Consider the following 14858-nt stretch of genomic DNA (forward strand, 5'->3'; position numbering starts at 1 on the left):
ATAGTTCTTATTGGATGCATATTCCAGACCCATTTTAGAAATGGAAAATGTGAGATGAAATAACTTGTTACAGGTCACTTTTCTTTTACTCTGGAGCCCGTAATCATTGCCCCTGCAGTGATTTCTCTCCTTCTCTTTCATATACTCAACCAATATTTATGGAGGATCCACTGTGTGCTGGGCATGCACTGAGCACCAGGGCTATGATGGTGGACAAGACAGATTTCATTTCTGCTGTTATTACCTACATTGTATTAGTCTGTTCTCTTGCTGCTAATAAAGATATACCTGAGGCTGGGTAATTTATAAAGGAAAGAAATCTAATGGAATCACAGTTCCACATAGCTAGGGAGGGCTCCCAATCATGGCAGAAGGCAAATGAGGAGCAAAGTTATCTCTTATTTGACTGCAGGCAAGAGAGAGCTTGCGGAGGGGAACTACCCTTTATGAAATCATGAGATGTCATCAGACTTACTATCATGAGAACAGCATGGGAAACACCTGCCCCTCATGATTCAATTACCTCCCACTGGGTCCCTCTCATGATGTGTGGGAATTATGGGAGCTACAATTCAAGATAAGATTTGGGTGGGGACACAGCCAAACCATATCACACATTTTCAACTACTTTATGGAAACTCCCCCTGGAGAGCTCACCTCAAGCGCTCCAGGTCCCAAGCCAGCCTTCTTCTAGAATCTTCTCCCCATCCCTCCCATTCTTCAGAGGGAGTCTCAAAAAGATTTTCTTGGATATTGCTGCATGAAATGGTGAGCATTGTACACAGCACATTATGCAAACCAACACATCAGAGGATGGCTGGTGTCATATCTGCTTGAAAGCTTTCAGCCCCAAACACTTTGGCATTCCTGCCATTTCTGCCAAAAACAACTTCGGAGAGAGGCTGGGGAAGGAGGCTAGGTGAGATCTGTTGGATTCCAGAGATTCAAGTCAGCACTGGTGTGACTGTGAGTTACCACACAGAGCTGGGGTGCCCGAAGGAAGAGACCCTCTTTCTGCCGAGATGTGGTTTTATAAGGAAAGAGAGACATTCCCACTTCTGAGTGGCTTTAGGGGGTACAGACATGCCAATCTTCAGCACATCTTACCTACCGAAAAATTTCCATCTTTTGCTGTCAAAACAAGTCATATCTTAAAGACCACACACACAGAGAAAGTTGGCTTCTCTACTTCATATCCAGAAAGTTCTCAGGGAGAAAATATGTAGCACTAAGGTGAATAGAAGTCAATGTAGCCGGGCACGGTGGCTCATGCCTGTAATCCCAGCACTCTGGGAGGCCAATACGGGTGGATCACCTGAGGTCAAGAGTTAAAGACCAGCCTGGCCAACATGTTGAAACCCTGTCTCTACTAAAAATACAAAAATTAGCTGCGCGTGGTGGCAGGTGCCTGTAATCCCAGCTATTCGGGAGGCTGAGAGAGGAGAATCGATTGAACCTGGGAGGCAGAGGTTGCAGTGAGCTGAGATCATGCCACTGCACTCCAGCCTGGGTGACGAGAGCGAAACTCCGTCTCAAAAAAAAAAGAGGAAAAGAAAAAGAAAAAAGGTAAAAAAAGAAAGTCAATGTAAATCTGTGGAGCCTCTATTTACATATTTCTTTTTACTGTGTTCTTAAAACATCCCCTCAGCATATGACTATGATCGGAGGCTGAGTGCAATGGAAGTGTTCACTTCTAGAACTTTCTCTCTGTAAGGACAGGAAGAAGATATATATGTGGAATGGACTGATGGATATTGTTCATTGTCAAGTTTGGCCTACATCCAGAGACCATAAATGTCACTCTTCTATCACTGAGTGAAGAAAATCATGCACTTCAGAGGCAGAAAGGGCTTGGGACCTCCAGGCCAGGGATTCCCATTATAGGCTCTGCCATTTAATAACTTCATAACCCTGGGAAGGTTCCTCGGCTTCTCTCAGCCTCACTTTCCTCATCTAGAAAATGAAGGTGAGACTCCTACCAGATGGAGTTGTGGGGGATTCACGAGACAATGGAGCAAAACCACTGGCACACAGTGGGTGATCCATAATGGTGGCTCCTGGCCACTTGTACTACAGACACAAATAAACAAAACCAAAAACCTTCCACAGTTAGAGAGTTTTCACTGGGAATTTTGACTTCCCTCTACAATTCAGTCTCCTGCTGTGGACTTTAAGTGGTCAGTGGTGTTGAACAACTATTATCTAACTATTGGCATAGTATTAAGAGATTCAGAGATATTGACCAATGTCAGTGTTTCAGGACCCTTAATAATGGGTGGGTTTCATGATTCCATTGTCAAGATGAGCTCATTTCTGCTCAGAAGATTAAATAATTGGCCCTGAGACTGGTTATCTATCAGCAGAAGCAAACTTTGTGCTGAGATCCAGGTCACTCTTCCATGGTAGAGGCAAAACTCCTTCCAGTTCTGCCAGTGACCAGAGGCCAGGAGTGAACTCAAACCAGCAACTGCGGGCCTGGAGGAGTTTAAGGAGGTTTTGGGTCTGTTCTCCAATGTTCTTGCCAACCCATAACAAACCTGATGACTGTTGAGTGACTCCTGGAGGAGATTATTATTCTTTTTCTATCTCAGGGCTATGTTACATATGTGGAGGAGGGGGCCACAGGGCTGAGAACCTGTGTAGACCTTAAGGGAAAATATCCTTTCTTTGCTGTGGCTTGAAGGAGCTTGGGGAGGGTCTGGAATGTTGCTTCAGTGCTCTTGGAGTTGGTGGTAAGGTTCACAGGTCAGGCCCCAGGCCCCATCCTACAATGACCCCACCCTCTTGGACATTTCTCTAACATGCCAAGCATGATCCCTGTCATGGGAATGGAAGTGCCATGAAGACAGGGATTTCTTTTTTCTCTTTCCTTCATTGCTATTTCTCACCTATGGTAGAGTTCCTGGCAAAAAGAAGGGACAAATAGGATTGAATAAATAGATTAACCATGATTTCAGGGCATATGTTCTGACTGGTCCCTCTGTTTGGAACATGCTTACCCAGGAGAGTTCCCTGGCTAAAAAGAGATTCCTCTTTTTAGGTCTAAGCTCAAAAGTAACCACCACAGAGAGGCTTTTCCTCTCCACCCCATCTAAAGCTCATTACCCTCGATCACTTTATCCCCTTCCCTTGCTTTAATAGTCTTCTCTATCGTGTATCATGTATCATGAGCTCATCATCACTTTTCCCACTGTTCCATGAGGGCAGAACACTCGTCTCTTGTACATCCATTGCTGTATCTCTGGCACCTGGAACACAACCTGGAGTGAGTCAGTGCTCTGTAAGTTATGTGTTGAGTGAGTGAGTGAATGAATAAATCCACTATCCATGGGAAAACTTGGAACAGTGCTTGCTCATAGCAGGTAAGAGATAAGTGCTCTTTTTATTGATGATCATGATGACATCCAAATGTCACTCTGAGGCTGTGGCACTGTGGATTGGCCTCTGACGTCCTCAGTGTGCATCCCAGTAGGTTGGTGAATGTAAAAGGCTTTCCTTCCCCCCCACCTGCCATTCCTCCCTGCCACCATCAGACATGCTAAAGAACAGTGCTTTCGTCAGCTTCTGCTCCTCCTTTCCCTGGTTGTGGAATTGTGACAAGGCATTGGAGACAGTTCATCCTCTCTCCCCCACTCTTAAAATACAACTTTCAGATCCTTCATACTAACATATAAATGAATAATGGCAGTCTCATCGCTGCATCCCATCCGATCCCAGACACCTGACCTCTCCCAGAATCTGAAACTTCCCATCTATTCACTTTCATTCATGTTATCAAATGCCTAAAGTGCCTCCACTTTGCCCCATTTTATTCCCACAGATACTCTTTCCAAAATCCAGCTCCACTATTCCCTCCCCTGTTACACTCAAGCCCAGATCTTACAGCAGTTTCTGCCTTCTCTCTCTGGTTTTCCTTGTAGCCCTCTCCCCCTTCCTTTATAGCCCTTATCTTGGGCCACTGTACTTAACTAGGCCTTTCTTCTCCAAGAATGAAGAATGAAGGAATGAAACTCATTTCTTCTCCAGAATTGAGCTTTGCAAGGCCGGGGTCTTTCGGGTGGGGGAGGGAATGGGCAGCTCTGACATGAATCAGTAGCGGAGGTTCCTCAACCCTGTAGACTCAGCTGTCAGAGCTCCTGGGTTCCAATCCTACCGGCCCTCTTACCATCTATGAGTCCCTGACAAATGATTTAATCACATTATATACCAGGTGTCCCACCTGAAAACAGGGATCCTAGTTATTATACTTCAATAAACACCAAACACCACTGACCAATGGATACAATTATAAAGAAGGATTCCAGAAAGAGATAACTTGCGAAGGGTGGGGAACTGGAAGTTCCTGTTTAGATTGTTTTTCCATTGATATATGGGGACTACTTAATGAGTTTATTTGGGACCAGACACAGAGAAAACCAAGCAATGTTTGAATGTATTTCTGAAAAACACCCAGAGTTTTATTACCATTAATTCAGCAGAAAGTTCGTTGCACTGAAATTATCACTCTGGCTCATTCAGCTCAAAGACTCTTCGCTGCTCAAACACATAGCTGTGTGGGCCATGGAAATACATGCTGCAGGAAACAGCCTCTGAACATCGCATCCAAGAAAAATAAGGCAAATTCCAAAACACAAAAGCAAAAAATACAAAACTTGTTTAAATATTTCGTTGCACTCACTAAGCACAAAAGTTCATATTTTGGGGGGACTGTAGAGAGCTTTAAAGTATACAGAGGGACTTACGACATGACATCTCTTAAGGGAACCCGTTCTCTTTTGACCTCATTAGCATGACGTGTCCTGCACTATGCTGAGGAAGAATGTGCAGAGAGAGCTCCAAGTCTCTCCACAGAACTCCAGGGCAGTCTTCCTCTGGTTTGCCATATCTGGGTCCTCCACACACTCGGGAGCTTTGGTGGCCATGGTCTGGGTCACTGCTAGGCTAGAGGGGGTGGTCTCTTTGCCTTTGATGTGCTCCCTGGGGGACATCTCTGTTTTCTCCTTCCTGGGCTTTGTGTTCCCAAATAGAGTGGAGCTGACTAGCTTAAGACTGGATTCTGGAAAATCCTTTCTGCACACTCTGGTTTTCACAGCTGTCTTGGAATATCTACAGATGTCTTTCTGTGAGCGCAGATTCCGGGCAACTTGTTTCCAATAGACTCTCTCATCCTTGAGCTTTAGGCATGAGGTTGGATTGCCAGCAAAGACACAGGAAAATTCATGGTCCAATTGAGTGCACTCAACCTTGAGAGAGATGCCCTCCTCCTGCTCAGTAGCAGCCCATCTGCAGTTGGCTTGGTCTTTGGTGACAAACTTGCCTTTGTTCCCGGGCCTGCTTTTCTGCTTAATCTGGGTGTTGCCCAGAGTGTCCTTTTGTTCTGAGACCACTTTGCTGTGAAGTCCATTCTTCACTTTTTTTTTCCCCTCCACCAGGAGCACCTGAGCAGCCAGTAGGAGGAAGGAGAGCAGGGTGAGGCTACAGATCTTCATGGCTGCAGCTGGGCGTTCACCTGTTTGACAAAAGGCAAGTGAGTCAGTGGCAGGCAGCAGTTCAGCTGTGCAGGACTACACGCTGGCCTCCCCCTACCCTGACAGGTGCCTACATGATTTCAGAGTAGACCAAGAACGCTTCTGGCTCCTGGAGTCACTAGACAAACAGCCTGTCTACTCACATTTCCACTTGACTTGAGTCTTGAGTGTCACAAAAGTACCACTCTTTGGAGCCTCACGAACTCTCATTTATCATTTATTCACTCATTAACTCCTGCATCTGCTCACTCCTCACTCTTTCATTCACTCATTCAACAAGCATTTACTGAGCACCTACTATATGCCCCCCACCAGACTAGGTGTTGAAGAAATCACCATGATTGAGAAAGCCTCAGATTTGAAAGAGCTTAGAGACCACTCTTTGGGAGAATTTAAATAGCATTGATCAGGGAATCTATCCCGTCATCTCTGTTTCTGATATGAAACAAGTTACTGCTCCAAACTTTCAGCTCCAAAGGGCTGGATTTCTATCTCATGACTCCATATGGACACAGATGCCCAAAATGAGAAAAGACATGACAGATGCCCAAAATGAGAAAGGATGTGGTAAGCATCATGAAAGGTGATGTTGACCCAGAGTTGAACATGCCTGGGGTTTGGGTGGGGTGGGTGGGGTTGTGGGGGTGGGGGAGCTTTTTGTGGGGAAGTAAGAGTTTAAGGAAAGGTGTGAGGTGGGGTGGTTGTCTGATTTGCCTGGGCAAAGTGAATCAGGGTGGAGAGAGGTGAATTTCAACCAGATAGTTCACACTACAAGATCGAAGACAAGGATCATGAGAAATCATTGAATCAATAGGATGAACACCAACGTCACACTGAACTGCATGAATCTGATCATGTGTACAATAAAAACCCATGCTTAACAGAAGAAGAGAAGTCAGTTTCTATATGACACCTCCTGTGTGCTAAGTACTGGTCTAGGGTTTGATTCCCACCTTGTGAAATCCACACAAGAGCTCTTCCAGGTAGCTATTAATATGTCATCCCAGGTGACAGCTCTGACTCTTAAGGCTCAGACAGGTAAGTAAATTGCTCAGGATCTCATAGTGGGCAAGTTCAAAGCTGGTATGGGTAGCCAGATCAATCTCCTTATTCCTTTCTGTCACCCCTGGTTGATCACTTTTTGCTTTTCACATTTACTCTGCCCTTTAAAAACATTGCCAAAGAATAAGAAAAACAACTATGAACAATGACAATTTAGTTTCATATAACACATAATGATAAGATGATTTGTATTATTTGTGCTCCATTTAAAACAAAACACAGAATTTTTTATAAAAAGAGGCAGACCCAGGAAATGGTCCTGATCTGATTTCTACCCTAGAAGTTGGCCATCTTCTAGGGTTAAGAAGGAGAAAGACAATCACAAAAGGGCAGAGAACAGCAATAAATGGTGAAGAGGAGACTGGATATGCCAGAAAAACACCCAGTCATTTCTCACGGCCCTGGGGCTCAGCCCCCACCTGCCCATGATGGAATGCAGGCCCAAGGAACTCCAGGCCCTTGGTGGAGTGAGAAGTGGCAGCAGGTAATAAAGCTGTTAAAGGAGCGAGGCTCTTACCTTGTTCTGAGCACACGGATCCAGTGCAATCCCAGGCAGTGCGAGTGAATTGCAGGCTGCAGCTGTGTCAGGTAGAGTGCAAGGGGGGTAGACTATTCAACAGGAGCCAGGCTGACTGGGTTTTTATAACACTCACTGGGTTTTTACAACACTGTGGCACGTTACTCACAGCTCCTCCCAGCCACGCCCCTCCGAGGGAGCCGGTTCCTGCAGGGAAAGTGCTGGATGTAATCCAGTGAAAAGGGGGGTTACCTGCATGCCATCAAACGCTTCCTCTAGGCCCTTCCCTGTCCACCCTGTGGCCAGGATAGGAGGACAACTCAGCCTCACAGTGACCCTCCTTGATGGGGAGAGGACCCCAGCAGTGATGTCTATGGAGGAGTAAAATAACTATAATGACATGATCCGAGCTGCCAAACTACTGAGCCCATTTTACCTGAGTTCTCCTTTTCCCTCATCACATCCGCTCTAGTAGGGAGTGCAATGATTCCTCCCCTTTTACAAAAGCAGGAATTGGTTCTGGAGATATGTAAGAGCTTGTCCAAGTTCACAGAGGCAGGAAAAGGAACATCTCAAAATTAAAAGTGAGATTCTCTACATCCATGGTCTGATCTCTTCCTGCCTGCCACTCTCAATAAATCTTTGTTGAATGGGTGACTGAAGTTGCCGAAGTTTTCGTAGTGTCTGAGTTCCTTTTTCCATCTGAAGTTACTACATAAGCAGAGGATACCCTAATTCTAGAGGCAGGGAAATTTACATTAAAAATTCCCTCTTTTTTATCAGGGAATTCTACCAGGCTCTGAGAGGCTGGTAAAGAGGGAATTTTTAATATAAGATTACTGTTGTAAATACTTACCTTCAGGTCTCATTCAGAGAGCTCAGGCTGCCCTGCCTGCTACAGGCACAGTCCCACACCAGAATGACCCAGGTGGAATCCTGGCCACAGCATGTGTTTAGCTGAGTGCTATGCCCAAACCACTTAGCCTCTCCCATCATCCATTTGCAGTGTGCTGACAATAACAACGTCTCCTTTATAGCTGCATACTAAATTTTTACTGGGCTAAGCTGTTAACATAAAGTGGAGCAGAATCGTTTTGCCTCATGACAGGGTCTTAAGTTGTATACTTTGAAAACAGACATTTGTTATTTACATATGCAGCATTTAAAAAGAAACTCACTTCTACAGGGAAGATGTGGCCCTCATTATATATTATCACCTCACCTTTCATAGATTTTCAGAAGAAGAAATTGTTCACTTTTCCTTAATTCAGCCATAAGAAAACTATTGTTTAGTGTGATATTAAATGGCAACTGACTTTTGGGTTTGAGATAAGGCAATAGGGAGTGATGGGGACTGTGGCAAACTAGAGAGTCTCTGCCTCCATAGAGGTCAACACTCATCTCCAATTGACTGAGAAAATGCAGGGATTAGGCTCAGTATTGTCACACTGTCTGATTTTTAAAATGACATCCCCAAATCCAGATGTGTTTATATGAAATTGGTTGGCAGCTAATTAAAATTTTCTAAAAATAAAGCTGTAGCTCAACACTATGCAGGCCAAAACTTGTAACTGTGTTTGGATTTTATGAACGATCCACCTGTTTGAGAATTCCGTGGTCATAGCTATAGATGTTGACCAATTTACTCAGAGGCTCAGTCTCTGCATGAATCTGTTGGAAGAAGCCATTTCTGAAGCTGTGTGCCTCTCTCCTAAAATTGCCTCACCCAGGGGTCCGTCCTCACTATCCTCACAAACACCCCGCTGAGGCCCTGACCTCCACGAACAGGCTCTCTCATGCGGTATTTTGGAGGATTATTTGGACATAGGCAAGGCAAAGCTGCTTTGCTCAACAAGGGGAGTCTCCTACAAAATGGAAAATTCTACTTGATCCTTGGGAGGCAGGCAGATTCTTTCTGGAGGCAGATTGCAGTTGGAACACAAAACATATTTACAAGGAAACATGTGGACTCCGGGGTCTTTCTGGGAAGTGCTTCTCTGAGCTTTGCCAGGTAACACTGCACATTCCCCACTGGCTCCTTGTGGCCCTTCCCCTTCCTGTGACTCCCATCCCAGCGTCTGCTTTGCTCTTTCCCTTCTAGACTCAGCAGCACAGCATCAGAGCAGGCTGTGGGGCAGTCACCTCCTTGGCTCATCCTGCCCTTCCAACCTCATTTCCAGGTACTCACACGCAGACACATAAATACACATACACACTGACACACATACAAAGACACACACAAACACACACTGACACACTCAAACACACACAAACACACTCAAAGACACCACACTCATAGACACACAGAGACACACACATACTGACACCTAGACACATTCACACACATACTCATAGGCACACACACACAGAATCACACACAGTGACACTGACACACACACAGAGACAGACACACACACACATGCACACACACACTGCAATCTGGCCACACTGAAACCCTGTCCCACCATTTGCAGATACTCCATGCATGCGCCCACTTCCTGCCTTTGCCTCTGCTGTTCCCTGCACTTGGGATCCCCTTCCCTTCCTTCTCTGCCTGGCACACACCGCCTCATCCTTCAAGGCCAGGCTCCAATGCGAGCCCCTCTCTGTTGGTGTCATTGGCTCCTGACGCCCTGCATGCCACCCACATCTTTAAGAATGTCCACGGGGAGAAATGGCACACTTCCTCCAATGAGCTTACAGCGTGCCAGGCACTGTGCTAAGGCTGTTTCCCAAGCTTTCTTCGTATCTCCATGAACTAAGGAAACGATGTCCTTTTCCAGTGGCTCTGGGGAGACTGCAGAGGACATGGAGCCCCAGCCACGCAGTGCATAGCAGGTTCCAGTAACTTCAGGCCCCTCCACCTCCCCATGCTCCCAGCACTGAGGGGCTCTGTAATTCTTGGGGATGAGTACATAAAGGCCCATTGCACAAGAACCCCAGGAGGAAAGTCGGCCCAGGTCCTCATGGGACAGATGTGGAGGCAAGGCTTAGGGGGACTAAGCACAGTGTCTGACACACAATTAGAGAAGAATTATCTGGAGGCCGCTGCTATCATTCTAAACACAAATGAGGCAGTGTACGCATACACTGATAAATTGTGGAATTCTCCTCTCTTTGCCCCTTCATACCTTCCCTTTAAATTTTTTTTTAAAGTTTTAGAATAATTTTAGGTTTACAGAGAATTGCAAAGATAGTTATCATTCCAATTCTCACCTGGGTTCCCTATTTACCTGTTACATTACTATGGTACGTTTGTCACAACTGACAAACATTGATACATTATTGTCAATTGAAGTCCATACTTTATTCAGACTTGCTTAGGATTTACCTGTTGTTCTAGTTTTTATTATTATTATTATTATTATTGACAGACTTTATTTTTTAGAGTAGTTTTATGCTCATAGCACAATTGAGTGGAAAGTATCAAAAGTCCCATATACCCCTCCCCACACGCAGGCACAGTCTCCCCTACCTTCAACATCATGAACCAGGGTAGTACATTTGCTGTAAGTAATAAACCTACATTAACATGTCATTATCACCCAATGTCCATCATTTCCATTAGGTTCACTCTAAGTGCTGTACATTCTTTGGGTTTTGAGAAATGTATAATGACATGCATAATATCAATTAACTAAGAAAGGTATAATGACGGTACCCACCACTATGGTATCATACAGAATAGTTTAGCTGCCCTAAAAATTCTCTGTGTTCTGCCTACTTACCACTCCATCCCCTACAACCCCAGGCAATGCTCATCCTTTTGCTGTCTCCTCAGTTTTATCTTTTTAAGAATTTCAAATAGTTGGAATCACACAATATGTAACCTTTTATATTGACTTTTTTACCTAGTAATATGCACTTAAGGTTTCTCTATGTTTTTCATAACTTGATAGCACATTTCTCTTAAGTGCTGATAAAATTCCAAAGATTGGATATATCCAAGTCCCTTTATTCATTCACCTACTACTAAAATTCCATTGATTGGATGTACCCGAGTTCATTTGTTCATTCATCTAGGACATTTTGGATGCCTCTAAATTTTGACAGTGATGAATAGAGCTGCTATAAACATGCATGTGCAGGTTTGGTGTAGAATTAAATTTTCAGCTCCTAATGTTCTTTTTCTGTCCAGGATCCCAACATGACACCAGGTTGCATTTAGTGATCGTGACTTTTTGGGTTCTTCTTGGCTATGGCTGTTTCTCAGATGTTGCTTGTTTTTGATGACTATGGCAGTTTGCAGAAGAATTGGTTAGGTGTTTTGAGAATGTCCTTAATTTGGAAATTGTCTGGCATGTTCTGGTTAGATTGGGATCATGTTATTCTTCTCATGATCACACAAAACTTAAATGATGAATACTTTCTTTGGGATTGTGAAAGGAAGTCTGAACACAATTGGTAAAAACACACTGGCTAAGGCTGGTAATTGAATGCATGTCTGGTCACCAGCTGGGGATTTGAAGTTCAAAAGCTGATTTTACTCTCATGCCTGTTACTACCACATAGCTTCTTGACCTAGAGGCCTGGCCCTACTTATGCAGTCACCAGAGATTATTCATATAATGGGTGCAATTTGGTTCTGAGGTAAGTCTTAACTGTGCCAAACTTATTGCCAGGCCAAAGTTGTCAAAAATCAACCCTTCCTTCAAACGTTACTTTACAAACAGACATTGCAAATGCTGAGCTGCTGCACTAAAGCAATATTAATTTGTTGGGCAAATAATGTGCATTAAAATACATTTATTATCAGAAAATAAGGAAATTGGGCTAAGCAAACATCAGTAAAATCTAATTCATCTGGCAAAAAGCATTAATCTTAGACCTACTCAAGAATATTTGCATTCTGGGAGGCCAGGGCAGGCGGATCATGAGGTCAGGAGATCGAGACCATCCTGGCTAACATGGTGAAACCCTGTCTCTACTAAAAACACACACACACACACAAAAATTAGCTAGGCATGGTGGCGGGTGCCTGTAGTCCCAGCTGCTCAGGAGGCCGAGGCAGGAGAATGGCGTGAACCCAGGAGGCGGAGCTTGCAGTGAGCCGAGATGTGCCACTGCACTCCAGCCTGGGCGACAAAGTGAGACAAAAAAAAAAAGAATATTTGCATTCCAAATTTAAAGTGCTCATTCATCATGAGATTTCAGGATTCCTGTTCAGGACAATGAAAGTTTTATTTCTTTAGAAAATGAAGAGATAGCAGAGTGTGGATTCTATAGTATTGGGTATGATTGCAAGGTGAAAACCTATTAAGTTTATTTACTTTAGAAAGAATGTTGTTATTAACCACATAATATTAACACATTTCTTAACTTTTATTTTAGGTTCAGAGGGTACATGTGTAGATTTGTTACATGGGTAAATTGCATGTCGCTGAGGTTTGCTGTACAAATGATCTTATCACTCAGGTAGTGAGCATAGTACCCAGTAGGTAGTTTTTCTAACCTTGCCCCCCTCCATTTCTCCCCACTCTAGTAGTCTCCAGCCCTATTTTTGCCATCTTTATGTCCATGCTTACCTAATATTTAGCTCCTTCTCTTTTTTTTTTCTTTCCGAGACAAAGTCTTGCTCTGTCACCCAGGCTAGAGTGCAGTGGCACGATCTTGGCTCACTGCAACCTCCACCTTCTGGCTTCAAGCAGTTCTCCTGCCTCAGCCTTCCGAGCAGCTGGGATTACAGGCACCTGCCACCATGCCTGGCTAATTTTTTTATTTTTAGTAGACACGGGGTTTCACCATGGTGGCCAGGCTGCTCTCGAACTCCGGACCTCATGATCCGCCTGCCTCGGCCTCCCAAAGTGTTGGGATTATAGTCGTGAGCCACTGTGCTCGGTCTAGCTCCTTCTCTTATAAGTGAGAACATGCAGTATTTGGTTTTCTATTCCTGTATTAATTTGTTTAGGATAATAGCCTCCAGCTGCATCCATGTTACTGCAAAGGACACAATTCATTATTTTTCGTGGCTGCATAGATAGTATCCCATAATGTATATGTACCACATTTTCTTTTGTCAATTCACCTTTGATGGGCATCCAGGTTGATTCCATGTTTTTGCTGTTGTGAATATTACCACAATGAACATATGAGTGCATATTGTTTTTTTAAATTTTTATTTATTTACTTTTTTGTAGAATGATTTTCATTTGGGTATATACCCAGCAGTGGAATCATATCAACATGTTTTTAGAAACAATGTTTAATGGTTGGTTCTGATTCTCAACACATTTGAAACCTAACTCCAATTTTTGTGTTAGGTTAAATCATACGAAACTACTATTTGTAGTATGTCAAAAATGCTAGAATATCAGCCATTTGAATGAAACCACTTAATAATAATAGGTATTTTTTCTCAAGTAATAGGGCTATTTCAAAGCCTTTTACAGTGTTTTCTTTTTGTAAAAGTTTTTTTTTTTTAGCTCTTCTATAATCAATTGCCCCTACAAATCAAGTTTTTTGATCACTTCTTTGCTTTTTGGATCTTTGTTTTTAAGTAAATCATTCTTAAACAGTCAAACACCCTTTAAAGAGGTCTGTGTCTTTTGGACAACATTTTTCAAGGTACCCCCACATACATGCACTTAAGAAAGCACTCACATATACACACCCATTCCCACACACATGCTCACACATCACAAAACCCCACACAAGTACACATTTCTGTATGCCACCTCTACCTCCCTTCCTATCTTGGAGAAAAAGAAGGACCTAGAGAGTCTCCCTTTTGGATTTTCAGCCTCTAGCCCATGTGTGCTACAAAGAGCAACAGTTGCTCCCTTTGAAAGCTGAAAAAGGGAGAAGGTAAGCTGCCCTTTCTTGGTGTTAAGGCTGAGAGTCACGAGGCACATTGGCTTATGACCACATCCCTTTCTTCACATGAAGAGATGACAATATTTAGAAAAATCAAACCAGAAAAGCACCTCTGAAAAGACCTGTAAGGGCATTCAGCGCTGAAGGATACCAAATTTGATTCCAAATTTGGAATCAAATGGGTGAGTATCTTCAGAGGGTCCTAATGCTCAGGGGCCCAACAGTGAATGTCAACCCGTGATGGAGTGTTCAAGGAGGACCTCACCTCACAGAAAGATACCCTTCTGTGCTGAATGCCCTTACACAAAGAGCAAAAGGACTCACACATGTGGCATGCTGCTTAGGAGAAGACAAGAATGAGCAGGGGAATGAGACTCTGCAAGGCTGGACCCTAATGCGACCTCATTTCTACTACCACTCAGTCATTTTTTCATTCATCCTAAAAGCACGCATGAAGCACCTACTATGTCCAGGCCCTCAGTGTTAATGATTGCCTGGAAGTGCAGTCAAGAAAAATGGTCCTTACCCTTGAGGAGTTAGCAGACAATAGGGGAAACGTCAAGGATATCAGTCATGACCACACAGAGGTTAATGACTATGTTGGAGGGAAAGCTGTGGTGCTTTGAGTTGGGACATCTAGCCTACCAGAGGCAGACAAGAATTTCTCAAGAGCCTGCAATTATGCAAACACAGCTCAACAGTGGGGGAAAGGGGATGTTATCTCTTCAGTCATTATTCAGTAACCACTCTCAGCAAGGTGAAGTATCAGGCACTCAAGGGAAGATAAGATGAACATGGTTTGGCTCTTTTTCCTAGACCTGACCAGGTGAGTCTATGGCTCACACTTTGATGATTGCTGTAGTGGTGATACCTCATCACTCCGACATTTTGACATCAAATTAAGAGGTGATGTTGTCTGGGGTGGTGTTATTTTTGTG

General features: G+C 43.8%; 1 protein-coding gene across 1 annotated transcript; it reads right to left on the reverse strand.

The window, feature by feature from the left end:
- Nucleotides 1–4433: 4433 nt before the first annotated feature.
- FGFBP1 (fibroblast growth factor binding protein 1) lies at nt 4434–7597 on the reverse strand. The gene is made up of 3 exons (NM_005130.5): nt 7544–7597; nt 7108–7328; nt 4434–5509 (listed from the first exon to the last, which is right to left on the reverse strand). Exon 3 carries the CDS (start codon nt 5487–5489, stop codon nt 4785–4787), a length of 705 nt encoding a protein of 234 aa, NP_005121.1. The 5' UTR covers nt 5490–5509; nt 7108–7328; nt 7544–7597; the 3' UTR covers nt 4434–4784.
- Between the last annotated feature and the right edge of the window lie 7261 nt (nt 7598–14858).

This window comes from Homo sapiens, chromosome 4 (genome assembly GCF_000001405.40).
Source record: "Homo sapiens chromosome 4, GRCh38.p14 Primary Assembly".
In the NCBI taxonomy this organism is placed as follows: Eukaryota; Metazoa; Chordata; class Mammalia; order Primates; family Hominidae; genus Homo; species Homo sapiens.

Bases quoted from the DNA above. Each gene is read 5' to 3' on its own strand.
- FGFBP1 (NM_005130.5), bottom strand. From the start codon at position 5,489: ATGAAGATCTGTAGCCTCACCCTGCTCTCCTTCCTCCTACTGGCTGCT.